This window comes from Homo sapiens, chromosome 19, assembly GCF_000001405.40.
Source record: "Homo sapiens chromosome 19, GRCh38.p14 Primary Assembly".
Classification (NCBI taxonomy): Eukaryota; Metazoa; Chordata; class Mammalia; order Primates; family Hominidae; genus Homo; species Homo sapiens.
Window position 1 is genome coordinate 5,088,223 of NC_000019.10, and position 25,789 is coordinate 5,114,011.

Sequence of the window (25,789 nt, forward strand, 5' to 3'; positions counted from 1 at the left end):
GGGGCAGGGAGTCGGCGGCTTAGCTTCCTCTGGAGCACGGTTCCATCAGCCAGATGCGCTCACATCCAGCTCTTAGCGGCTCCTGCAAAAACTCGCTCTGATCAAAGGGAGGTGAGTGTAAAAATGCGGCCCGGGCTTTGTCTCCAACTCCCCCCGTGATTCCTGGACCACGCAGGCCATATCACTCGGACACCACGGATACAAACCCTCACTCCCCTGGCCCCTAGAGCTGAGCAGAGCGCTGGGTTCGACTTCCATCTAGAGCAGAGGTCGATGGGGGGGAGGTTGCCCCTGCCCACAGCTCCACCCGTGATAAGTAGGCAGGCTTTTCCATAATTAATCAAAACCTAGGCCGTTCATCTGTGGGCCAGGGCTGAGCAGAGACCACCGGAGTCCCTGAGGGGGCCCCTGAGGCTGCAGGGGACAGGCCAGGCCCCCCCCCTCCCCCCCCCCGCAAAAGAGCAGGTTGTGGTTATAGGGGCAGGATGACAGTGGGAGATTTTGACATCCTCAAGAGGCAGAGGAGCAGGACGCCCCTGCCAGCTTCATCCGCACATCCCTTGGGGCAGATACAGAAGGAAGAATGTGCATTGTTGGAAACTGGGGAATACGGTAAACAAAGAGAAGTGGGAGCTGACCTTACCATCTCTGCCATCCGCTCAGCCATGAGAAGGAGCAAGGCCCAGCGTGGGTGAACCCTGAGGACACCCCGCTCAGTGAGAGAAGCCAGACCCAGAGGCTACACCGTGCGAGACCCCATTTCTATGAAATGTCCGGGACAAGCCAGTGCTCAGAGGCAGGAAGGGATGCTTGGGTGTGGGGGCTGGAGGGTGACAACGGATGGGGACGGGTTTTCTTTGGAGGATGAAAATGCTCTACCTTTGATGGCGAAGATGGTCTCCCCACTCTGTGAATACACAAGCTCCTGCGTCGCACACCTGGTGAATTGTAGGGCACACGAATCTCACTGAAACTGTCCAGAAACATCCTTCCCCCAGATCAGCTCTCAGCAAATCAGGAACAGTAATCCAGAATAAAAACTGGGCAGCCTTTCTGGAAGGCCGTCTGCCATGGGTTACACATGTGTCTCCTGTGGCCTAGCGGTTCTGTCTCTGGAACACGTGCATACCGGTTCCATGTCTAGGGATATCTGTAGCCCCGTTTGTTGTAGTGGAAAGTTCTATGACCAGGGGATGGGTTGAACCAGTGGAATGTTATGCAGCTGTGAAAATGGGTTTGCTCCATGAGGTTTGCTCTGTATCTTTGGGCATGGAGAGATGAGCGCGACAACTTTAAGGGAAAAAATAGGCTGTGGACTGGGACTCTTGTGATTCCCGTTTTTTGTGGGGATGTGGTTCTTGAACTGGGAAAGGGAGATTTGCCCAAGTATTGGTTGATATTAGTTTGATGTCATGGAATTTGGGATACCTTAAAAATATGCACTAACTTCTCAATATGGTTCTGTCTTTTTTTGTACTAAAAAAAAAAAAACCCACATACTCCTCTTTCCATAGTCAGAGGGGTGTAGCTCTGGGGAGGGAAGAGTGGGGTCCGCCATTCCTAGGTGCTTCTTGAGCAAGCACCCCACAGTTCCCAAGTGGAAAAGGTTTTTGTTGTTGTTGCTTCGTTGGTTTGTTTTCAGAATGGGAGTTAAAAACCAAACAAAAGGCCAAGCGCAGTGACTCATGCCTCTAATCCCAGCATTTAGGGAGGCCGAGGTAGGGTTGCATGATTCCAGAGGTTCAAGACCGGCCTGGGCAACATAGTGAGACCCCATTCTCCACAAAAAGGGGGAAACAAGACAAAAACACAAAAACTGTGAAGACCCCCAAAGCCTGGCCCCCTTCCTCCCTGCTGAGCAGGTGAGGCAGTGCTGGAAAGAGGACAGAGTGGAAGGTCCTGGAAGCCCAGCCCAGCATTGCTGAGCGCCTGCCGTGTGCAGGGGAGGGGTCCTAGCCCCTGGGTCTGCCAGGGAGAGGTGAGAGTGCAGAGGACAGCAGGCTTGCCTCCCTAGCCACACACCTCGCTGCATGCCCTGGCCTCGCCAGGCTGAGGCTTAGGGTGCAGTACCCGGTTCGTTTTGAGAAGTCTCTTTCTCAGCTAGAGCTGTCTCAGTGGTAACGTTCTCTCTCTCTCTCTCCTCATCTCTCTCTCCCCCCATATCTCTCCCCCTCTCTCTCTCTCTCCCCCTCTCCCCCTCTGTCTCTCTCTCCCCCATCTCTCTTCCCCCTCTCTCTCCGCCTCTTTCTCTCCCCCCCTCTCTTTCTCTCCCCCTCTCGCCCCCTCTCTCTCCCTCTCCCCCTCTTTCCCCGCTCCCCCTCTCTCTCTCCCCTTCTCTTTCCCCCTTGCTCTCTCCCCCTCTCCCCCCTCCCTCTCTTTCTCTCTCTCTCTCTGTCTCCCCGCTGCGCGCGTGCGCCCCCCTCCGGCCCCCCCTTCCCCCCACCGCCGACAGTACCACCCTCCATCAAGTGCCGACTCTGGGCCTTGTCACCTTGGGAGGACCAGAGTAGTGCAGTGACTTTGCCAAGGTCACACAGCAGGAGGCTGGGCCCAGCACACCCTAGACCTTCCTCTGCTTCCCTTGCCCCACTTGGAGGCACAGGCCGATGGGGCATCTGGGAGCCCACACCCTCCCTGCCCACCAGGTGTCTCCTGGGCCAGTGGCTTCGTGTCCTGGGCACGTGTCCTGTGCACAGCCCGGTGGGGGCAGCTGGAGGGGTCTCCAAGGCGGCGGCTTCCTGTCTCAGAGCAGGATCCCCCGGCATGTGCTCCAGCAGGCAGGCTTTGTAGTGGGATTACTAATGGGGCAGATCAAAAGGATGTTCCTATTTCACTCAAGGAAATAAAATGTGCACGCAGCCGCCTTTCTCACGCTGAACTCAAGTTAGTCCTACAAGCCTGCACGCCATGTTAGATTAGCTCAGCACGCGGCCGGGCTGGCCCCGAGGTGGGTGGTGCCTGGTGCTGGTAGATAAGGGTCTCTCCTCCAGAGCCCAGGACTCAGCGGCATCCCGAAACACCCTGCCACGGGGAGAGTTGACTGAGGATTAAACAGAGCGCGAGAGATGTGAAGCCTGGCTGGAAGGCTGGGGAGCCACTCACGCTCTCTTAACTGGTTCCCTGCCAGCTGTCTGTGGGTGAGGCCTGCTGTGTGCCAGCCTCCCCGGGGACATCTCGGGCTCTCTGGAGGTGTCTGGCAGGGAGAGCTTCTGCTGAGCTTGGGAAGGGGACGATGACTTGGATTCCCCAGAGGCGCCATTCCAGGAAACGGCCCACTCGGCACCACCCATCTCCTCCCACCTCCCCGCATCCAGGCTGGATGGGGGCTCCGGCAGGAACCAGGCCTCTCCTAAAACCCCAGCCCTGGGGTGTACTGAACTTAATTACTGTAAAATTCAAACCAAATTGTTTCTGCTGCCTGGGAGAACTGTGTGTTCCTTCTGTTTGGTAATGAGGCTGCCTGCTCCAGGTGATTAACCCGGAGCCCAGGGGGAGGGAGCCCAGGGGGAGGCGGCAGAAGGCAGGGGCTGGGGAAGGGTGGGAGGGAGGAGGGCCCACGGAGGTGCGGGAAACTCCAGCCACTCCTCTGACCCGCTGGAGCCCACGGCTGGCCTGTGCCCTGCCTTTGGCTTCCTGCCTCAGTGAGCCTCTGATTTATGGCGTTGTGGGGCTGGACGCATCGTGTGTGCCGCAAACTGCTGTGTGAAATATGTCTCCCTTGCTCTTCCCAGATCTTCCCTGTCACTCTGACCCTGGTGAGGCCTTTGGGGCCCCTTCCCATGTGTGGGCTTAGGGGGTGTCACAGTCACGCAGAAGCGTGGGGAGAATCTGCAGCTAAGACCAGGCGGAGCGGATCCCGGGCCGGGCCAGAATGAGTGGGTCCCATGCTGGCTCTTGGCCTAGTGTTTATGCTGCATGTCTGGAGGGTGATCTAGGAGAGGAGTGGTCTGGAAAGAAGGCCTCGTTTAGTCTCTCCCTCGGCACTGCGGACATTGGGGCCGTATCCTTCTCTGGGCTGGGGCCGTCCTGGGCACTGCACGGTGCTGAGCAGTGCCCCTGGCCTCCACCCACTCCATGCCAGGCACACCCCAACCCAGCTGTTTCAACCACAACATCGGCAGGCACATCCACTCCCATGGGGGCAGGGCCACCCATTGAAGACACCTGGGTCTCCAGGCTCCCTGCGGGCCCTTCCTTCCTTTCTCCCACTGCTCTCGGCTTTCGGGATCACGCCCTCTAATACCCCCGGTTCTGCTGCCCAGGAGCTCCGGGGGGGACACATCTCCCCAGAGGAGGGTCGGGGGCTTTTCTAGACCGAGGCTCGTGGTGTGGCTCGAGGGCCTTTGCCAGCTCGGCAGCCCCCAGTCTTCTCTACCATCCTTCATGGACAGAGCTGGTTCGGGGGCTGCAGCTGGTTGCTGCCTGGCATCAGAGGAGCGGGTCTGCTTACGGGGTCAGGCAGAGGCAGGACCCCCTCGAGGGGCACTGGCGAGGGAGCCCAGGGGTCAGCCGTCAGAGAAGCAGGAGAGTCAGAGGAGGGGGCTCGCAGGGCCTGGCCCTGAGTCAGAAATGGTGGAGTTCTCCCCTCTGCCATCTCAGGGCATCCCGGCTCATGGCTGTTCCTCAGCCGTCGTGGATGAGTCGTAACCTGGAGAGTGAGAGAGAACCTCCAGGGGCAACTGCTGGCAAGGAGGGATCAGGGGAGGCCGGGCCCCTGTACCCCTGACCACATGTCCTCTCCCCACCCAAGGTGTGACCCTTCATGGGGCCTGTGGTTCATACCTGGAGCTGTCTGCCTGGGTGCAGACCCTCCCCTCCTAGTGCTCTGCCTCAGTTTCCCTCCTAGGGCTGTTGGAAGTGACATGGAACAGCACTTGGGTGGTGCCTGGCACAGAAGCAGGACTGCTGTGGCTGTTGAGGCCCCTTCAGGGCAGCATGTGGAGGAGAAAGGCAGGTCCTGGTGGCCTGGGGTCAGGTGTGCAGCTGCCTGCTTGTCATGTCCCTGCAGGGGCTCACAACACTGATAGACTCGAGGCTACTTTCATTTAGGGAGGGCCAAAGGGGACATCGGAGCCTCCCCAGGCACCTGGTGGATGTGTGGGCAGCATGGAAGGCTGCGGAAGGCCATGGAAGGCCCGTGACCTTGCCTGGCCTGGCTGGCCGGGAGGGGCAGGGAGCCGCTTTCTGTGCTGCCAGGAATGGCCCCGCAGCCGAAGCCCAGGGAGCCCTGGGAGCCGGCGCCTAATTGTTTTGTTGACGCGGCTGCCGAGCACTTCCAGTAGGTTTCCTAATGAACTGGTTTGTTATCGGCCTCACTGCAGCGCTGATAATTACATCAGAAACAGGGGGCCCACTCGTCCTTCCCACGCGTTCTGTGAGCCATCAGCGCAGATGCGGGCGCCTCTGCCCCTTCCTCGGTGTTTAACGCTTTGTGTGCCAAGGCACCTGCCACCCACACCCACCCCAGACAGATGGTCGAGATGGCTGTGAGAGGAGTGTGACCGCCACTCGCCCCGGTTGGTGTCTGCTTGGCAGTGGTCACCGCGCAGGTCACTGTTCAGCTGCTGGGAAGGCAGTGGATGAGGCCATCGAGGTCCAGGGAGGAGACAGGACACGAACAAGGGTGGAAGGAGGAATTTCTGCTCCTAGAGAGGGTGCAGGGACGCTGCAGCTGCGGCCTGGTGTGTCTGCCACCTGGGTAGCCCAGTCCACAGCCCAGGCAGCTGAAAGCACCAGACATGTATCCTCTCTCAGTTCTGGAGGCAGAGGCTGAGATGGGTGTGTGGCGGGCCGAGCCCCCTCAGGGCGCCAGGGAGACCACCCTGCCTCTCCTGGCTTCAGGGCTGGCCGAGATCTCAGGGCTGCTTGGCTTGCAGGGGTGTCGCCCTCTCCTCTGCCCCATGGTCACGCGGCCCCTCCTCCCTGTCTTTGTGTCCTCTTGTCTGCTTCTAAGGGCACCAGGTGCTGACCCCCGGCAGGCCCTGATCCCATATGTGAATCATGCACTGATGACAGCTGCTACCACCCTGCTTCAGAAAAGCTCCTCTGTGAGGCCCCGGGTGCAGGATGCTGAGTAGCGCGGGGAACAGCACTGCTGGGGAGGAACGAAAATTGCGAGGTCCCTGAGCGGGGGACCTGGCAGAGGCCAAACGTCAGAGGTCGGGGGCTGCAGTAAGGGCCTTTGAAGTTAGATTTCATCACCATGTGCGGGGGGGAGGCACTGGGCATTTCAGCAAGGGAGAGGGGCCACTGGCTGGAGAAGGGACTATGGGAGAGATGGGGCAGGGAGCCCGGCGTGGATGGCCGCCGTCTAGACGGGCATGGGGTCTGTGGGCGTGGGAAGAAGGGGACAGCGTGTGCCTGTGTTTTAGGGGTGGTGCCTGTAGGACCTGGTGATAGGACAGAGGTGGGGGCACAGGGGAGGGGTGGGGACTTGGGCATGTAGGTGTGCGGTGGTGCTGGGAGCGCACAGAGGGACATGGAGGAGCCAGGACTGGGTGTGCTGTTGAGATGCGTCAGAGCCTGCCTTCCAGTGTGGGAGCCACGGGCCACACGTAGCACCGTATCCATTAACCAAAATGAAATAGGATGAACCCTCCACTCCTCAGTCAGGCCAGCCGCGGGTCAAGCCCTTTGCTAATAGCCGGGTGGGCTGGTGGCCGTGTCCTGGGCAGCGCAGGTGCAGGTCATCGCCGTCACCACAGACAGTCCTGTCACCGTGCAGCTGATGCGTCCTGTGGAGGGGTCTGCAGCTCGGGGGCGGCGCCGGGGGCGGGGCAGGGGCAGTGTGAGGGATGGGACGTGTTGAGCCATAGATGTCCTGTCGGCAGCTATGAGATGCTGTGCCCTCCCCACGCCAGGATCGCTGTTTCTAAGGCCCCTGCCCGTCCCCATCCCTGTCCACAGCAGGGCAAGCACCAGCCATGCAATGTCTGTCACCGTCGGCTGTAGAACCGCCCGCTGGTGGCTGGCATTGTCCTCAATGTTCCGCCCTGGTTCCTGGATCAGGGGGCTGGGAGTTGGCGCTGCAGCTGACGAGAGCATTCATGATCCCCGTGGTCAGATGCTATTTGGGTTGATGATTTTATCGGACCACATATAATCATTTTCTCATTAGGCCGGTGGCTGTGTCTTCTCTCTGCCACTCTACTGTTTTACATGAGCAGACTCTAGTATCTGTTCAGGCTTTTAAAAAAGAGATGGCCTCTGGTGAAAGCTCAGTGCTGTTTAAATCAGGAAAGGTGGCAGATGAGCCCCCTGGGCTCCAAGGCAGCAGTGGTAGCCCACTGTGTCTGCAGGTGGCCAGGGTCCTGTGATGATGCTGCCAGCCAGGCTGCTGCACACTGAGAGCTGGGGGCCCACGAGCCTCGGTGCTGGACGCCCCCACAGTGTGGATCAGATCGCAAGGGGCTGGCCAGGGCAGGGCAGAGCCTGCTAGGAGGAGGGAGAGGGCTGGGAGCAGCCAGGGTGGACCCCTCAACCTGGATCAGATCACAAGGGGCTGGCCAGGGCAGGGCAGAGCCTGCTAGGAGGAGGGAGAGGGCCCGGAGCAGCCAGGTCGGACTCCTCAACCTGGGGACCCTCCCCCAGCAGCTGCAGGCTTGAGTGTGTGCAGCACTTATGTGCGAGCATGTCGTTTGTGTGTGTGTTTCCCTGGGAATCAGACCCTGGCAGGGGCCCCCAGTCTATAGAGTGGGTGCTATGGACCCCAGCCGCTGTGAGGCAGAGTGTGCGCCCCACCAAGGGGCAGGCTGCCGAAAAGTCAGCTTCACAGGGAGCTTGTTTTAGGAGGAGGTCCTTGTGTTATGGAAATGTAGGCCACAGACTGAGGCGCACACAGGGCCGGTGTACAGTGTGGGGAATCTTTTTTTTTTTTTTTTTGAGGTGGAGTTTTGCACTGTCACCCAGGCTGGAGTGCAGTGGTGTGATCTCGGCTCACTGCAACCTCTGCCTCCCGGGCTCAAGCGAGTCTCCTGCCTCAGCCTCCCTGAGTAGCTGGGACTACAGGTGCGCCACCACACCTGGCTAATTTTTGTATTTTTAGTAGAGGTGGGGTTTCTCCATGTTGGCCAGGCTGGTCTGGAACTCCTGACCTCAAGTGATCCACCCGCCTTGGCCTCCCAGAGTACTGGGATTACAAGCGTGAGCCACCGCGCCTGGCCATGGCGTGGGGAATATTCACAACCCTACCCCATCCGGACTCCTGGCAGCATGGAGTGGTGTCACCTTGGATGGGGAGCACGGTCCCAGGTCTCCACGGGCTTGGGCAACCCCTGGGGTTCCTGCTGACCTCAGTGCCCCTGCCCAGACCCCAGTTTCTCACTTCCGTGCGATGTGGCATTTCTACACTGGAGTCGCTGGTGACATCAGTGGCGCCTGTTGCCGCGGTGCCCCCGGCGGTGTCGGTGGTGCGTGTTGCCATGGCGCCTGCCTGGTGGAGGAAGTGTCCCGCGGTGCCCCCGGCGGTGTCGGTGGCGCGTGTTGCCATGGCGCCTGCCTGGTGGAGGAAGTGTCCCGCGGTGCCCCCGGCGGTGTCGGTGGCGCGTGTTGCCGTGGCGCCTGCCTGGTGGAGGAGGTGTCCCGCGGTGCCCCCGGCGGTGTCGGTGGTGCGTGTTGCCGTGGCGCCTGCCTGGTGGAGGAAGTGTCCCTCCGTTTCTGGATTTGCCTTAATAGCTCAGAGAAGGCTGAGGGAAACCTGTGAGTGATTGTAAACATCCCATGCTAGGGAAGGGCTTGTGAGGCCACACAGGGTGGCTTCCACCAGAATCGACACTTTAAAGAGCACGGGCTGGCAGCATGTGTGGTGTGGAGTCAGCAGGGCGGGGAGAAAAGAACAAGGCACGTGCCCCATGGCCATCGGGTGATGGGGATGGTGCCTGTTCACGAAGAAGAGTCACCAAGGGAAGGAGGTGAATGGTAACCAAAGCCACCAAGATGTCAATCTCACCGTACACAGGATTCTTAAATATGTAGTAAAAGGCTGTAAAGCCCCACGTGGCGCATCAGTCGGCCATCCAGGCTTCGTGGTTTTGTTTTTTGTTTTGTTTCTTGAGACAGTCTCCAAAAACTCCAGATTGGAGTGCAGTGGTGCGATCATAGCTCACTGCAGCCTTGACCTCCTGAGATCAAGCAATCCTCCTACCTCAGCCTCCCGGGTAGCTGGGACTACAGGTATTGCACCACCATGCCCAGCTAATTTTTTGTAGTTTTTGTAGAGTTGGGGTCTCACTATGTTGTCCAGGCTGGCCTTGAACTCCTGAGCTCAAGGGATCCTCCTGCCTTGGCCTCCCAAAGCACTGAGATGACAGGCGTGAGCCGCCGCGCCTGGCCTGTGCAGGCCTTGGTGGAGCTGCTCCTTCGGTCCTGATGGGGAGCATTTCCCAAATGTGCCCCATGGAAAAGGCAAGGCGCAGAGCAGGGACCGTAGGATGTCATTGACATGAAAAGCAGAGGACCGCTGCCCTGTGTGTCGGGAGGCTGGGGCCTCAGGGCAGAGAGCGCGTTGGCCACCTTCCCTTTTGTTCTTCTGGAGCTGGGTACTGGGTGCAGTGTTGGCTGTTCCAGAAAGTCTATGAGTTCTGTCTCCGTTTTGGCTTGGAGTTCTCCTGTGGGAGGTGCCCAGCAAGGATGATTCCCCTCGGCCACCAGTGAGATGGGAACCCTCCTCCTCCTCAGCTCAGCAGAGCCGTCGTGGACCTGGGGCCCCCAGCTTCTTTGGATCTCAGGCATGGGGGGCGCAAATGTCAGTCGGGAGCTGTCAAGCTCTGTGGAAGGTTTCTGCATGTTTGCCCGAGCCCCACCAGGAGGGGCTTCAAAAGTGCTTGTCCAAGTGCAGAGCAAGGCAGGGCACAGAGGCAGAGGCAGACACAGCCCCCAGCTGGGCCAGGGCTGGTGGCCAAGGGGCTTCCTCAGTGTGTAGCCTCCGTGGCAGCCTCCATGTGTAGTACATGGTCAGTAGAAGCCCCATTAACAGCAGGGGGGACTCGGCCTCTGGGGAGCGGATTTCTTTTGCAATATGATGTTAAAGGAAGGTCTGGCATTCAGTATGTTTTTTATTTTATTTTTTATTACAGTTTACAAAAGCACTCCAGTTTCATTGGATTTCAGGCATTTTGCATGGGATCGTTATGGCTCAGAAGGCGTAATCTCAGGCATTAGATTAGAGTGACAGGCTTGGGAATTCAGACCGGAGAACAGCTGCCCTGCCTGTTCCCTTGTAGGTGACTGGCAGGTCTTGCTTTATAACAGGAAGTGCTCCCATGGTGGCCCTGACTTGCCCAGCCTGTGGGGTTTGCTTGTGTTACCTCATTTAAAACCCCTGGCAGCACGAGGTTGGTCCATCTAGTTCCCTAGAAAGGTGCCATGGACTGAAGGTCTGTGTCCCCTCAGAGTCATCTGTTGAGTGCTCATACCCCTCCCTAGGGTGATGGTATTAAGAGATGGGGCCTCTGGGAGGCGACGAGGGCATGAGGGTGATGCCCTCATTGATGGGATCAGTGCCCTTATGAAAGAGCCCCCAGAGAGCTCCCTCGCCCCCTCCATCATGGGAGGACTCAGTGAGAAGATGCCAAGAATCAGGAAGTCACCCTCACCAGACACCAGACCTGCCAGTGCCCTGATCTTGGACTTCCCAGCCTCCAGAACCATAAGAAATAAGCAATTTGCTTATGAGCCCCCAGCTTATGGTATTTTGTTTCAATAATGGACTAAGACAAAAGGTTCATTCCAGTCACTTCCTCACATGCCATTTCCCTCATCCCTGCCTCCAAGGAATGTGCAGGGTGGATTTCTGAGCCTTTAGTTGCTGCTTTCTTTCCTTTTGGCAGAGATACTTTCAGGGGAACCTGGTCACATAGAACAACCTCCGGTTCCAGTAGTGCTGGGCACACACTGGGTAGCAGTGGGCAGTGGAGAGGATTGCAGGGCACCAGAAGGCCCATTTGTTTCCTTTCTCTTTAAACATGATGAGCAGGTCTGTGCAAATACCCCAAAGTCCAAGGATGCTGAGAGGCCAAAGAAAGAAGCTGGCATTCAGTTTCTCAGAGAGAAACATTTAATAAGGATTTACAACGAGAAGCCATGTCTGTGTCTTGGGTGGCGGTAGTGAGACAAGACGGTGGATCCCTGCACCATCACCCCCAGACCCAGGGCTTATATACCATAGGGAAGGGTTGTTTTGGGATGTGCAAGACAATTGAAATATGGAAACCTCAAGGGCCATTTGACCAAAGGGCAAGATTTACAGTAAGTACCTGCTCTTATACAAGGAGCAGTAGATGAACTGGAAATCTCAGAGGCCTTCCCAGAATGGGGGTTAATCAAAAGCCAACATGGCAGGTTAGCATCCAAGATGGAGTTGCTTTGGCCTCCACACCTGCTGTGACCTCATTTCTGAGAGACATATGCTCCAGGGGCTTCTTGAGAAAGGAACACAGGCAGTAAAGTTTTGAGACTTTTCTCATTTGAAAACAGGGCCTGAGGGTGGCACCCTCATGGAGGAGATCAGAGCCCTTATAAAAGAGCCCCCAGAGAGCTCCCTCACCCCTTCTACCAGAGGAGGACACAGTGAGAAGGCACCATCTAAGAACCAGGAAGTGACCCTCACCAGACACCAAATCTGCCAGTGCTTTGATCTTGGACTTTCCAGCCTCCAGAACCTTGAGAAATAAGGAAAGGGCAGAATTTGAAAATGAAACCAAAAACTCCACAGGATGGTTAGGCAACAAAGTAGAAGAACTTGTGCAGGAGAAGCTGCTGTCTGGGTGGCGGATAGTTTGGCTGGGTATCGAAGTCCCTTCGAAGGCTGCACCCATCCGTGGTTCTCATTCAGTGCTGCTGGCACAAAGATGCTCCTCTGATTCCTCATCCTTGGTGTGGGACCTGTTTTTCTCCCTTCTGGAGGCTTATTGAACCCTTTTTGTGTCCCAAGTGTCCTGAAGTCCCCTCATTGGGTACCTGATACGTGTCTGATTTTTGTCACTTGCCCCTCCTTGGGCCTTTCCATCCATCTTTTCCAACCTTTCCCATGATTCTGGTAAACTTTCTTGAATGGTTTCATTGATTATTTGCTCTCCTGTCTTTCTTGTTTCTATTTCAAACTCCCATCACTCGCTATTGGGCTTTCAGAACTAGTGTTCCACTTTATCTTCCCCACCTCCGTTTTCTACGTTGTCTTTTTTGTTTTTGTTGTTGTTGTTGTTGTTGTTGTCTTCAAGACAGGATCTCACTCTGAAATGAGACAGAGTCTCAGCCTAGAGTGCAGTGGTGCAGTCATAGCTCACTGCAGCCTCAAACTCCTAGGCTCAAGTGATCCTCCTGCCTCAGCCTCCTGTGTAGCTCGGACTACAGGTGTGTGCCACCACACTGGCTAATTTTTTGTAGAGATGGGGTCTCGCCATGTTGCCCAGGCTAGTCTTGAACTGACCTCAAGTGATCCTCTCGCCTCGGCCTCTCAAAGTGCTGGGATTAAGGCGTGAGCCACCACACTTGGCCTCTTTGTCTTTTTTATTAATTTGTTTTCTGGAAGAGTTCCTCAGCTTCCTCACTTAACCTGTCTATTGATGTGTTTTTATTGGTGTTTTTCATTTCTGCCCTTTTTTGTCTTCTGAATATTCCTTTTGTTATAAGCCCCGTTCTTCTTTCATGATGTAGTATCTTTTATTTCTGAGGATATTGATTGACGATAGGTTTAAATTCTTTTTGAAAATGTCTTCTCTGGCTGGACACGGTGGCTCACACCTGTGATTCCAGCACTTTGGGAGGCTGAGGCGGGCGGATCACCTGAGGTCAGGAGTTCAAGACCAGCCTGGCCAACATGGTGAAACCCTGTCACTACTAAAAATACAAAAAATTAGCTGGGCATGGCGGTGGGTGCCTGTAATCCCAGCTACTGGGGAGGCTGAGGTAGGAGAATCACTTGAACCCAGGAGGCAGAAGTTGCAGTGAACCGAGGTTGTGCCATTGCGCTCCAACCTGGGCAACAAGAGCAAGACTCCGTCTCAAAAAAAAAAAAAAAAAAATCTTCTCTGTCCTCTGTTTCTTACCAGGTTTTTGTTTTTTTTTTGATAGTTTATTTTGATCTCTGGGGATCATAGTGCAGGCCCATCTCTCTGATGCTTGGGGGTAACGATCTAGTGTAATGATTACAAGTGAGGGACTAGGTGCAGTGGCTCATGCCTGTAGTGCAGCACTTTGGGAGGCTGAGGCAGGAGGATTGCTTGAGCCCAGGACTTCGGGGTCGGCAGTGAGCTGCTGTGATCACGCCACCACATTCCAGCTCCAGCCTGAGCAATAGAGTAAGACTGTCTGAAAAAAAAAAACAAAACCCCAAAACCCAAAAAACCCAAGTGGGCAATGGATGCTGGTGATGGGTTGGGATGCAAGGGGATAGCGGGGAGGGCCTCACTCGGTGCTTTACCCGGGGAGGTCTGGGTGGGCTGTGGATGCAGGGGAAGGGCGGGGAGGGCCTCACTTGTTGCTTTTCCTGGGGAGATCCGGGTGGGCTGTGGATGCAGGGGAAGGGCGGGGAGGGCCTCACTCGGTGCTTTTCCCGGGGATACCTGGGTGGGCTGTTATGGGGGAGCCCACATCAGGCCCTTTGGGTCTCTCCCCTTGGGCCAGCCGGATTGCACAGGGAGTAGCCCTCCAGCCTCCTGCCTGGGCTCCTAAGGGTGTCACCCACATCCTCCACTGTGCCCAGTGTCCCCAGCCCAGACACCCACCTTCTCTGGCCTCCCCAGTAAATGATCCTAGGGAGTCCAGCGAGGAGGGGCAGGCGGCCGCCAGGGTGCCAGGAGGGGTCGGGTGCTGCGGCAGTCCTCGCGCAGACCTCCGTTTTGAGCACCCCCACCCTTGTTTCCAGGGGACCCTGGGCCATGAGGCGTGGGGTGCGTGCCCGCCACCACCATCCGTGTCTCTGCTGGGAATGGCTCCCTGGTGGCCGTCCGTCTGCTCGCCACGTCCCACCCCCAGCCTGCTGTCGTCTCCTTTTCCATCCTCCCTGTCCTTGCAGGTGTGTCCTCCCTAAAGGCACTTTCTCGTGGCTTCAGGAGAGAGATGGGTGGCGTGGGCTTGCCAGCCTACCAAGGCATCACTTAGAGCCAGGAGCCATGAGCGTGGCCTCCTTCCTGCAGTTGCCTCTGGCTGCCCAGGAGGGATGTGGTGTTGCCTGGCAGGGAGTGGAGACAGTGAGGCCTTCTAGGGGTCCTCCCTTGAAGGGTCAGCAGACCAATGTGGAAGTCACCAAGGATGAAGGCCAGAGCCTGGGGGAGGGTGGAGCTGGACACCCCTGGGAAGTCTGGGAGAGGGGCTGAGCCTCCACAGGCCAGGGGAGCAGGGGAGGAATGGGGCCGGGGCCGGGGTGGCATCTGGGGCCACTCCCGGTCTCTTGCTGTTGGCGTTGGGAGGGATCTCGCACCACAGCAGGGAATCGAGGCCCCGGCTCCCCTCAGGCTCTCCCTTCACCGGCAATGGGCGGCGGGCGACGGGTGACGGGTGACGGGTGATGGGTGCAGCACCCGCCCCGCCCATAGGAGAGCCCTGGTCCACTGTGGCCTGTGGATGCCGCCCCTGACGTCAGCATCTCTCTCTGGCCTCCCTGGGAGCAGTCTCAGAGCAGTGAAGAGCTCTTCACGTCCGGTGCTGTGGCGATACTAAGTAATAAGATCTCCAGGTTTTATTGGGCATTAATATTTATTCCCATGAAAAGGTTAAATTTATTTCACTTTAAAGCCCTGGAGAGTGCAAGGTGGAGCCATAGTCGCCTCTCCTGGCAACGGCCCTGCCCACCACGTACCCACCTCTCCCACACAGGCCAGTCCTGGTGATGGCCTGCAGGACAGGGCAGATGTGTGGGGCAGTTGGGGGCACCCCCTTTTGGAAGGCACTGCTGCCAGTGGGGCCGGTGAGTGTGCAGAGCCCAGGGCCAATGTGTGCCTCCTGCAGGCACCGGGCAGCCCTGGCCACTCCTCAGCTCTCTGACCCCTTCCCCCGCTCTCTGCAGCAGGCACCACACGAGCCAATTTCGCTTGGCACGACGTCCTGAAGCAGGCCCTGGGCTCTGCGGCTGCTGGCTCTGAGCCCATCGACATTCTGATTTGTATTTTTTCATGCTTTGGAAAAAAGAAATCTATTTATCTCTGCGTCGGGTCCCGCTCTGCATAACCGGAGGCAAACCAGCAGCCCCGCCCGCTTTCTCATTTTCCTGGGAAGGTAGCAGCGGGTCCTCTGAGGCCTGCGTCAAGAATATCGGGCTGTCGGACGCGTCAGTCTTCAGGGGCAGGTGACGGCCGCACTGCTTCCAGCTCTTTGGCTTGGTGTTTGGGCACCAGCTGACGGGCCAGCCAGCAGCAGCGGTGCTGAGGTTAGTCCAGGTCCCCTGAACTCGACGGCCATCAATCCCGGGCCTGTCATTTGCAAGCAGCTGCAGCAGCTGGTCGAGCCTCCTGCTAGACCCTCTCTCCACCCCAGGTTTTTCTTAAGGGTCTGTGACGGTATCTGTCAGTGGAGACTCATGTTAGCCATGTCAGGAGGGCCTGTGTTGGAGAAGGATGGAGGGAACAGCCCCGAGCCCAGGGGGCCTGGCTTTTGCTCTGTGAGGCTCGCTCCACACCCTGTTCACTTCCTGATCCCCTTCCCCACCCTGCCTTGGTCCTTAAGGAGGTGAAGATGGGGCACGGGGGTGCACGGCCACCTCCTGTAGAACCAGGGCAGGCCAGCCACCTTCTGAGTAGCTTCCGAGCTCCTGAGGCTTGGCCACCCGCACATCATGGGGTGGGTGAGGAGCAGAAGGAGGGGCCCTCCCCACGGCTGCCTGCAGTCTGGCCCTCCCCTTTTTATCTGGGAAAAAGTGTCCTGTGGCTGCTGGGTGGGTGGCAGGGAGGCTGGCCGAATCCCTGGCCAATGAGTCCCGCTGGCAGGACCCCGAGAAGCAGAGGAGCTCGCTCCAGCTGGTGCCCCTCCACCCCGGCAGCAGCAGGACGAGCAGGCGTGCCAGCACAGCTCCTGGGCACCTGCCCCTTTCTGCTCCCGGGTCCCCTGGCTTCTCATATGTGCTTATTTTGTCTCCCAGTTACACTGTGAGCTGCTTCAGGGCAGGGCCCAGCGTTGCACGGTAAAACTACATTAATTCAGACTCATTAATTCAGAGCCTATAATAGTTCAGACATGGGAGACGTGACTCTTTTTGAGCTAAAAGTTGGAAACCGTTTTGCTCTGGGTTTTTATGGCCACAATTGCAGAACCTAATCTAAGATCAGTACCTTTTTTTTTTTTTTCCAGCAACTAAAATCTTGGGAAATTAAAGGTCCTTAAAACATGCTTTCAATTGTGAGCCAGACAGTTCTGAACCCGGCAAAGAGCAGGCACAGGGATGCTCTGTCTTGGAAGGGGGTTTTGTCTGGGAACGCCACTTCCAGGATTCAGACCTCATGTGTGTCCCTCGGGAGCTTCCAAAATAGGACTGCTTTTAGGTGGAGCGTATTGGAACTGATGTCAGTGAGAAAATGGACACCCTCACACCCCCCAAAAATTAGAAACAGAAGACCTCACTCCTCAGGCCGTGCCTCTTCTCTTCCCCAGACCCTGGGCAGGTCTCAGCAAACCCGGGAGAACCAGAGCCTGACTCCAGGTCCCAAAGTTGTCATTTCAGGGACCTGAATTGCTGTTTTCTCCCATGTATGAGTGTCTGGGCTCATTAAGATAACTGGGGCCATCCCAGCCGGAATGTGCAAAGTCCATGGGCTCCGGGAGTTTGGAGCTGGGTCAGGTGGTGAGGCCGGGAGAGTCGCACCCCCTGGGCTCCGTCCGGGCAGCAGGATCCAGGTCCCCATGAGGCTGAGGTGCAAATGGCCCCGCTCCCTGAGCTGCCCCTGAGTTCTGGGGGCAGCGTGCCCACAGTACATGGCTGGCTTGGGCTGATGGTGCAGAGGGCACAGGACCCAGAGCGGGGCAGAGCAGGAGGCCAGGACTCTCCATGCCTGGAGCCGGACTGCTTCCCGGCAGGGGCAGTCAGAGGCCCGGAAGCCGGTAGTGGGGCGCGCGCAGCTGCCACGCTCAGTACAAACTGGGACTGCTGCCCATGTCTGCAACAGACACACCTGCGATTGCTCCCAGAGTGTGCTGAAGCTGGTCTGTGGGACGTGGTGTTCACCCCGATGCTGTTACACTGCGAGTTACACTAGAAAAGTTACTTCATGACTTAAGTCAGGCTTCAGCAAGCTTTTTCTTTTGAGACAGGGTCTCAGTCTGTCGCCCGGGCTGGAGTGCTGTGGCATGATCACAGCTCACTGCAGCCTTGACCGCCTGGGCTCAGGTGATCCTCCCACCTCAGCCTCCCAAGTAGCTAAGACAGTAGGCGTGCACCACCACACTCACCTAATTTTAAAAATAAATTTTTGTGGAGACAGCGTCTTGCTATATTGCCCAGGGTGGTTTTGAACTCCTGGCCTCAAGCGATCCTCCTGCCTCAGCCTCCCAAAGTGCTGGGATTACAGGTGTGAGCCACCATTTGAGCCAGCCCAAACTTATTGTAAAGGACCTGATAGTGACTGTTTGCAGCTTTACAGGCCGTGCATTCCCCATCTTGAATGTTCAGCCCTGCCCTTGTAGCGTGAACACAGCTGTGGATGATACATAAATGAATGGGCCTGGCTATGTGCCAATAAAACTTTATTCACAAAAACAAGTGGCAGGCCAGATGTGGCCCATGGGCCCACCTTAGAGGATATGCCTTCTCAATAAAGAGATTTAGAGAAATAAGTAGCGCAGAAGTGTTTACTCCTACAATTGAAAGAACCACAGTTATTGTTTTGATACATTTCCCTGTCTTGAGAGAGCTCTGCCCATAATTGGGCTCTTGCTATATTCATGACCGTGCATTTTGTGTTTCTTCAGGTAACAGACACATCCTGAGGACGTTTCTGTCATTGAAAGCGTCCTGTAGACCGCATCTTGCCAGCGCACACCTCCCTGTTGTGTGTCGTTTATTTAGTCTGTCCACGATGGTTGAACGGTTTGGTTAGAGTCATTGTGTGTGTGTGTGTGTGCGCGCGCGTGCAAGCGTACTTGTCTTTCAGTACAAAAGCAAAGGACATCTTTGAATTCCTTCCTTCCTTAGGCGAGATCGCTAGCAGGGGGAGATTAGGGATGAGCTTGCCTGGAGTGTGCAAAGATCCACGTTGCACCCGTCATCTGCAGCTTGGAAGAGCTGCTCAGCTCCTCCTTGCATCCTCCTGAGGCCGCCAGGGTCTGCTCCATGCTCACTGGGGGCCGAGTAGGGGCCGTGATGCTGACGCACCCTCCTCCTCTGGGGGATTCCGCAGGACCCAGCAGCCACCCGGCAGCCACCCCTCCCTCTGCTGTCACTAGCTTTGGGCAGCGCGTGTCTCCTGCGTGCAGGAGCACTGTGAAGCCTCTGCTGATTCGCTGGCAAGCGGCACTGTCCAGGCCCCCAGAGGTGCACTTGGCAGGGTGGTCAGGCTGCCCCCTGACATGAGCACTGTCCAAGAACTGGGTTCTGCTTGGCATCTGGGGCACCAAGAGGGGGGGCCTTGCTTTGAGACCCTGCTCTGCGGGCCTTAGCCAGGAATGAGAAGAAGCTTATGGGTTCCAGCCCAGCCCAGAGCAGTGAGACCAGGATCTTAGGACTGGGGAGAACGGTGGGGGCAGAGAGCCTGCAGTTGGTGGGCCCAACCTGTAGATGAGAGGCTGACCCCAAGGCAGGGCAATCCAGGGCCGTGACCTGCAGAGAATGCGGCGTATTTGGGAACAAAGACCCTCAGTGGAGACTGGCAGTGGGACCCTGGCTTCATGCTCCGCGTTCCTCACCTGAGTCCCCACCTCCTGGTCTCGGACCTCCACCTGTCCCCAGAGGCTGTTCAGCACTGAGGGGGCACCGCCACCCTGCGTTGGCCAGATGCGCCCAGCTTCCCCGGCAGCTCTCAGGGCGGCCTCACCCATGCACACGGTTCTAGCGGCCATGTGTATCACACCACACGATGGGACACAGGCCCTGGGGCGTGCTCAGGCCTTTGGGGGCCGCGCAGACCTCCTCTTGCCCTGTTTGTGCCTGATTTCTCCATCAGAAACTAATGACACAGCCAGATTCCCCCGGATGGTGCCTTCCTTATCTGTCGCGAGTGCTGACAGAGGACCACCAAGTTGGGCAGCAGGAATTGGAGCGGGCGGGGCCTGTTCCCTCCAGTCACTCCTGCACAGCCTCACAGACACCCGTGTCCCAGAGAGTGGGGAGCTAGACAGGGCTGTGGTGAGAACAGTCAGGGGCCTGGCTAATGAAAATAGACAGCGAGGTCTGCCCTGCCGGAGGACTCTGTGGTGAGGCTCCCTCCGGCCTGCTCTGAACCCTTCCCAGCTGCAGTAGAACAGCCCACAGAAGTCCTCATGGGCCTGGCTCACCCTTTTCATGGGCACGTGGCTCCCACAGGCACGCAGCCGATCAGAAGAGGCCGGAGTTGGTGGCTCGCAGTGGGGGCTGGGCATGTTCAGCAGGAGGCTGCTGCTAAGGGGAGCTGGGTCTCCTCACCAGCCCTAGCGGGTTTCTCTCCCACACTGTGGCCCTGCTGAGCTGCCCAGCACTCAGAAGCGACTACCCTGTGTCCTCGAAGGCTGTGCTTCCCTCCCTGTGACCCACCGGCCTTGCCTCCTTCCTGCTGTTTGCTTCTTGGGTGTCCTGGCTCCCCAGCTCCCTGCAGAGCCACGTGGAGACTTGCAGGAATGCTCCCAGCCGCCACCTCCTTCCAGTCCAGCCGTGGGCAGCCTGGCACCAGCAGCTTTGTCCTGGCAGTGGCAGCCCCTGGAGCAGGGGATGCATCTGGAGCCGTGCCAGCCCCAGCCGGGCAAGGGGGCTCAGGCCGTGCTCCAGGCCGTGGCAGTGCACTCCGTGGAGCGTGTCTGCCTGTCCCCCCTCCACGGGTGCACACAGGTGCTTTTTTTAATTAAGGAAAAGCAATTGCAAAGCCGCTCAATACAAATCCCCTAAGCTGCTGTGGATGGGGATGCCGGGGCAGTCGGCCTGTCCAGGAGTCTGAAACGCCGGCACCATCTGTGTTCCTGCCACTCCATGGCCAAATGACACCACCAGCCTTTCTCTCCTGTGCTATCTTTCATTAAATGAATTGAGTTTGCTGGGAATTGCCCAGCCACAAATATTCCCTCCTGCTCAGCATGATAGGAATCTAACTGTTCCCAAGCCCCTGCTCCTGGATCCAGCAGAAGGTTCCATGGCCCCCCTGGGACTGGGTAAGGTGGGGGGAGGCACGAGCTGCAGGAAATTCCACAGGAAGGTTTCCGTCGTCCCCAACCCCGTCAGATTTGGGGTCGTAAATATGTGAGTGTCTCCAAGCAAAGTGTGGGCCACCTGGAAAGGTTTGTCAGGGCAAGGGAATAGTTGCGTTGAATTAAGTCTTTCCCTTCCCATTTCCTTCATCCCATTGAGCACGGGTGGTGACAGCAAGACAGGTACTTGAAATGGAAGAGTGTCTCACGATTTTTGGAAATGGGCTTCTTCTGTGCCTGTTTGATGGAGAGGCAGAAAGTTCCCTGTGGGCTTCTGAGGCTGAGATAAGGGTTGGCAGAGGTCGGGGCAGCCTGTGTCTGGCACGCGGTCCCTGGGCCCGCCTCTCCCCAGCAGGAGATGAGGTCTGTGCCCCGTTCAGACGGGGGCCCGTGCCTCTGCCCCCCACGCCCCGAGCTTCCGCATGGCCCTCCCCCATGCCTGTGGAGACTCCCAGGGGCTACTTTGTCCCCTAGAATCTAGACCAGCAATTTCCAAACTGCTGCCCGCAGGTCAACTCTGTCCCTGGCCTCTGTTTATTAATAAAGTTTTATTGACACACAGCCATGCGCATGCATGTGCCCATCATCCGTGATGCTTTAGAGGCACGGTGCAGAGTTTCTCGAAGCTGAAAACACTCAGCGTTTGGGCCTCTGTGACAGTTGGCCAGCCCTGCCCTTTCCCCCTTCCTCTTGAGGTTGGGGTTTTTCCAGCCCCATCTCAGCCTCATCCCAGTAGGTACGTGACAGACCAGAGCTTCCTGGCCGCCTCCTGGGATCTGAGTGCCATGGTGGTAATCGCCGCTTGGGCATCTGGGTTCATGCCCTCTGGGGCCTGGCTTCTCTGGCCCCAAGTCCCTGAAATGTTGAGCATCACCAGGTCACCTGCAGAACATCCTTCCCAGTGCCCAGTGTGACCAAAGTGACGCAGCGGCAGAGCCACCAAGAACAGTGACCTGGGAAGGGCTGAGGGCGTGAGAGCGGCAGGTCTGCCCGGCAGGCAGCTGGAGGGGACTTCAACTCATCCTTGCCACTCGCTTGACGTTCCCAAACACAAGGGGCCATCCTATTGGGTGTTTGCTCAATTCCCCCAAGACCCCAGGCAAGCCGGCTGCAGCACATGGCACGTTAATGTCCTTTCTTAGCCGCTGAGTCCCTGAGCCTCCCAGACCCTCAGCATCTTCTTCGTTAACATTGTCGTCCCTCCAGCCCTGCAAGCTGGAGGCAGTCAGGTGAGGCGTGCGGGAGCCTGTGGGCCACCGTCGCCCTCGTGAGGCCTCCTGAGGAGGGGCCGTTGTCACATTCCGGGATTCCTGTTGGTTCTCTCAGCTCTTTGGGGACTGCTGTTGTCTCCCTTCTTCCCAGCCCTCTTGGAACGATTGCTGTTATAAAATACTCCGTATCCATTTTTACCTACCTGGGGGCACCCGCGTCTGACGGGAGGGAGATTTTTGCCTGGACCAACAGGAGGCATCTGAACCTCAGCCTCGCTGGTCTCTGGACAGCTGTGCGTGGGGCAGTGCCCAGTCCTGAACCTCAGGCCCCTCACTGAGCTGCGCCCAGCCCCCATTTCTCTTGGGTGTTTGCTCAGTGGCCGTTCCAACTCCGTGGAGGCAAACCAGGGACTCACAACTGGGGGATGCCGTTTCCTGACTTGTGATAGAAGTTCTAGAAACAGAGCAGGAGTGCTGGTGCACACCTGTAATCCCAGGGTTTTGGGAGACTGAGGCAAGAGGATCACTTGAACCCAGGAGTTCAAGACTAGCCTGAGCAACATAGCGAGACCCCATCTCTAAAAATTCTCTTAAGAATTAGCCAGATGTGGTGGTGGGTGCCTGTATTCCCAGCTACTTGGGAGGCTGAGGCGGGAGAATCGCTTGAGCCTGAGAGGTCGAGGCTACAATGAGCCATGATTGCACCACTGCACTCCAGCCTGGGCGACAGAGTGAGACCGTGTCTCGAAAAGAAAAATGTTCTAGAAGCGGAATGCTCAGCGGTGGGATGGGGTGTGGGAGGCCCGGGCCGTGAGCCCTACCTGCTCTGGGGTGGGGTGTGTGGAGCCAGCCGTCCAGGTGTGGCGCGAGGGCTCAGACCGTGTCCCCTGCCGCAGTGCACGTGCCGGAAGGACATGGTCAAGATCTCCATGGACGTGTTCGTGCGCATCCTGCAGCCCGAGCGCTACGAGCTGTGGAAGCAGGGCAAGGACCTCACGGTGCTGGACCACACGCGGCCCACGGCGCTCACCAGCCCCGAGCTGAGCTCCTGGAGTGCATCCCGGGCCTCGCTGAAGGCCAAGCTCCTCCGCAGGTGAGTTGCCAAGGGACTGCCGCGTGACTGCCCAGCATCACGGGGGGTGGCCCTGCTGGGTGGCCCAGGCCCCTTCCCACTGGCAGGGGCTCCGGGCCGTGTCCCACTCCTCCCTTTCTTCCTATTCCCACCCCGCCTCCTCTTTCGTCCTCCTCCTCCTGTTCTGTTTCTCCTCCAGTCTGAGGCACAGTGTTTTCTCGAGGCCTCGCTTTGCTGGGGTGGGTGGGCTCTGCTCTGGCGGGCAGCGTCTGTGCCGTTCACACCCGCGGGCTCCCCATACTCCCTGTCATGTCCCCGCCAGGAGGCTGACCCTGGGTGGCCCCAGGCCCCGTGCCATTGCCTCAGCAGAGCCACCAGCCACATGGCTCCCTGTCCCTCTCACTCACCGCATTTCTGCTGTCCGGCTACTCGGGCCCCTCCCTGGCGCTGAGAGCAGTCGGGTTCCCTGCAAGGACTCAACGGGGCATCAGGTGGGGCTGCTTGGATTTGAGATCGTGGAGAGGATTTCAGAAGGCCGGCCCCGGGGCGTGACCCTGGATGCCCTCCTCCCACTCAGAACCCCTCCCTGCGTATCGCCGCACAGACCCTCCCAGCCAGGTATCTGGTGTCCGCCTGGAGGAGAGGCCAAAGCATCTGCAGCCTCTTGGCTTCTGACCACAAGAGGCCATGGGGACACGGAGGCAGGTCCCGGCCTAGGAGGAGATCCACTTCATGCCCAGAGTGAAGGCGAGCACCGGCCTCCCCAGCCCCTCCTCTGGGAAGTGTCCAGGCTTCCAGGGCTCTGAGCTGCCCTTGGCACAGTTGTCGACAGATCTCACTCCTGTTTGGTGCCCAAGGAACATTCAGGGAGCCCCTGAGCATGAGCTGGAGCCGGGAGGGACGGCACAGAGTGGGCTCAGCCAACTCCTCCGGGGAAGGGCCAGAGAGCAAACATTTGTGACTTGGCGACTTTGCAGGCCAGGCCTCCTGTGTCTCGACGTCTCGACTCCGCATGGCAACTCAAGACCCTTGCAGATGATAGACAGCGAAGAAATGCGCGTGGCTGTGTCCGTGAAGCTTTGTTTACAGACCCTGAAATCCAGATCTCATGATTTTTACATGCTACCAAATACGATAATTTTTCTGTTTTGAGCCACTTAAAAATGTGAACATTGGCCAGGCACGATCGCTCACACCTGTAATCTCTGCACTTTGGAGGCCAAGGAAGGAGGATTGCTTGAGTCCAGGGGTTTGAGACCAGCCTGGGCAACATATTGAGATGCCATCTCTACAAAAAATTTAAAAATCAGCTGGGTGTGGTGGTGTGCGCCTGTGGTCCCAACTACTGAGAAGGCTGAGGCAGGAAGATCACTTAAGCCCAGGAGGTCAAGGCTGCAGTGAGCCGAGATTGTACCACTGCACTCCAGCCTGAATGACAGAGCAAGACCTTGTCTCTCCAGGAAAACAAACAAACAAACAAAAAAACATGTAAACACTGTTCCTAGCTTGTGGGTCGTACCCAGACAGGCTGCTGGCAGGTCTGGTCTTTGAGCCAACAGTGGTGGCCTTGGTGTGGGGGCAGCCTCCCCCTTCCCTTTGAGCAGTGACCTTCCCTCTGCAGCCATCCAGTCTCTGCTGCCTTGATCTTGTCCCAGCTGGCGATGGATGGTGCCCACTCGAGACCCAGCCACTGAGCACCAAGGTTGGGGGCGGCTCAGCCTTGGCCCCCCACCACGCTCTGCAGAAACAGGCCTTGGAACTGGTTTCTGAAAAGTCACTTCTGGTCCAGAACCTTCTCCTCTAAATGGGCGCCTTCTTTTTCAACACGTCCATCTGTCTGTGAGTCTGGGACTCCTGGGCGGTCTGGGCATCTGTCTCGGCCTCCTCTGTCTTCCCCACCTCGCGGCCTCTCTCGGAGAATGTTCCCTCTGCCCCGAGTGTTTTCACAGCCCCTCCTGACAGCCCTGCCAAGGTGAATCTGTCTCTTCTGCTCTTGTTCTGTCCTTTTGATTTCCTGCCTCCTGTGTGCTCCTCATGAAGAGCTGCCTCCTGGTGAGGCTACTCCAGGCGGCCCCCGCAGCACAGAGCTCGTGCACCCCAGCTCCCAGGCCCAGCCAGACGTGCTATTTGCATAATGGTTAATTGATTGTGGCTCAGGCTAATTGGTCAACAGAGTGGATTGCCAATAAACCGGCACCACGTTCCAGGAGTGGAATGGGACTAGAGGCCGTCTAAATTGCCTGCCAGGAGGAGATGCGGAAGCCGCTGCGCTCACCGCTGCTTGGAACCTTCTTTGCACGCAGGAAGTGGACCCCCCAGAACCAGCCCTTGCGTGGCCTGGCCTGGCCTCCCTGCCCCGGCCACCCCCTCACTTCTAGTCACGACCTGCTCCTCCCAGGAGCCCCCTCCCGCCCTCTCCCGCGCCGCCATCCTGGGGGCTGCCTTCACCCAGCAGCAAGCCTGAATAACAAATGAAGTCAGCTTCCCAAGGATATAATTTTCTTGAAAGCCTTCAGTATGTAAAACAAGGCTGATTCACTTTTTTTTTTTTTTTTTAAAGTCATTGGGGGTGCTTTTCTCTGGAGAGGCAGATGGGTGACTCACGTTCCAAAGCCCAAGCTGCCCCTCCCTCCACCAGGGAGGTGGTCGGTTCCCCCCTGAGCAGTGCCCTCTCCACGTGGCCTGCCTTTTCCCCTGAGCCAGGCTCCCTCCCTGAGGGCATATCTTGGGGCCAGGGCAGCCCTGTCTGAGCATCTGTGGCTCAGGCTGGATCGGGAGACACAGTGGACTGGCTCTGTCTCCCAGACAAGGGGCTTGTGGACACAGGCGGGATCCTTCTCTGGTTGGGGGAGCATCCTGGGCCCTGCAGGGTAATGAGCAGTATCCCTGGCCTCCACCCACTCCATGCCAGGAGTGCCCCAAGTCGTGACAACCACAGATGTCCCTAGACATCGCCCAGTCCCCCGCGTGGGAACCCCTGCCCTAGACCAAGGGATGGCATCAGGGTGGGCGCCATGCCCTCACCCCCGTGCAGTCCAGCCTTCCCTGCCCTCGGCGTGGCTGTGGGATGGCCCTCATGTGTTTACCAGGTGCCCCATGGGGTGCGGATGGTTCGGCACAGCTGCCTGAGCTCAGAGGACACGGCCTACTCCCTGCTCGCCACCTTACATGGGTCTCTTCCAGAACTAAATCTCGTTGAGCGAGCGTTGGGGGC

At 57.7% G+C, this 25,789-nt stretch overlaps 1 protein-coding gene across 15 annotated transcripts in view, besides 8 other annotated features; it reads left to right on the forward strand.

Moving 5' to 3' along the window:
- The window catches only part of KDM4B (lysine demethylase 4B), a 184,486-nt gene that overhangs the window by 119,110 nt on the left and 39,587 nt on the right, over positions 1-25,789 (forward strand). For 8 of the 15 annotated variants that reach the window (XM_005259521.5, NM_015015.3, XM_011527814.3 and 5 more), the window contains one exon: positions 22,400-22,596. In XM_005259521.5, the coding sequence (XP_005259578.2) occupies positions 22,400-22,596 (197 nt within the window). Of the gene's footprint in view, position 1; positions 17,758-22,399; positions 22,597-23,152; positions 23,323-23,552; positions 25,119-25,789 lie in introns of those variants that run through there. The other 7 variants (NM_001370093.1, NM_001370094.1, XM_011527819.3 and 4 more) reach the window with 7 other exon arrangements.
- Positions 4,454-5,003: an enhancer, noted in NCBI's record as "H3K4me1 hESC enhancer chr19:5092687-5093236 (GRCh37/hg19 assembly coordinates)". NCBI's record gives its function as "activates a minimal SCP1, AML or CMV promoter by ChIP-STARR-seq in naive H9 embryonic stem cells {active_cell/tissue: H9 hESC(naive)}" and the evidence as "EXISTENCE:reporter gene assay evidence [ECO:0000049][PMID:30033119]".
- Positions 5,004-5,551: an enhancer, noted in NCBI's record as "H3K4me1 hESC enhancer chr19:5093237-5093784 (GRCh37/hg19 assembly coordinates)". NCBI's record gives its function as "activates a minimal SCP1, AML or CMV promoter by ChIP-STARR-seq in naive H9 embryonic stem cells {active_cell/tissue: H9 hESC(naive)}" and the evidence as "EXISTENCE:reporter gene assay evidence [ECO:0000049][PMID:30033119]".
- Positions 7,516-8,016: an enhancer, noted in NCBI's record as "H3K4me1 hESC enhancer chr19:5095749-5096249 (GRCh37/hg19 assembly coordinates)". NCBI's record gives its function as "activates a minimal SCP1, AML or CMV promoter by ChIP-STARR-seq in naive H9 embryonic stem cells {active_cell/tissue: H9 hESC(naive)}" and the evidence as "EXISTENCE:reporter gene assay evidence [ECO:0000049][PMID:30033119]".
- Positions 8,027-8,527: an enhancer, noted in NCBI's record as "H3K4me1 hESC enhancer chr19:5096260-5096760 (GRCh37/hg19 assembly coordinates)". NCBI's record gives its function as "activates a minimal SCP1, AML or CMV promoter by ChIP-STARR-seq in naive H9 embryonic stem cells {active_cell/tissue: H9 hESC(naive)}" and the evidence as "EXISTENCE:reporter gene assay evidence [ECO:0000049][PMID:30033119]".
- Positions 8,528-9,028: an enhancer, noted in NCBI's record as "H3K4me1 hESC enhancer chr19:5096761-5097261 (GRCh37/hg19 assembly coordinates)". NCBI's record gives its function as "activates a minimal SCP1, AML or CMV promoter by ChIP-STARR-seq in naive H9 embryonic stem cells {active_cell/tissue: H9 hESC(naive)}" and the evidence as "EXISTENCE:reporter gene assay evidence [ECO:0000049][PMID:30033119]".
- Positions 14,956-15,250: a silencer, noted in NCBI's record as "tiled region #7356; K562 Repressive non-DNase unmatched - State 7:EnhWF". NCBI's record gives its function as "represses a minimal TATA promoter and a strong SV40 promoter by Sharpr-MPRA in K562 cells {active_cell/tissue: K562}" and the evidence as "EXISTENCE:reporter gene assay evidence [ECO:0000049][PMID:27701403]".
- Positions 21,477-22,333: an enhancer, noted in NCBI's record as "H3K4me1 hESC enhancer chr19:5109710-5110566 (GRCh37/hg19 assembly coordinates)". NCBI's record gives its function as "activates a minimal SCP1, AML or CMV promoter by ChIP-STARR-seq in naive H9 embryonic stem cells {active_cell/tissue: H9 hESC(naive)}" and the evidence as "EXISTENCE:reporter gene assay evidence [ECO:0000049][PMID:30033119]".
- Positions 22,796-23,305: an enhancer, noted in NCBI's record as "H3K4me1 hESC enhancer chr19:5111029-5111538 (GRCh37/hg19 assembly coordinates)". NCBI's record gives its function as "activates a minimal SCP1, AML or CMV promoter by ChIP-STARR-seq in naive H9 embryonic stem cells {active_cell/tissue: H9 hESC(naive)}" and the evidence as "EXISTENCE:reporter gene assay evidence [ECO:0000049][PMID:30033119]".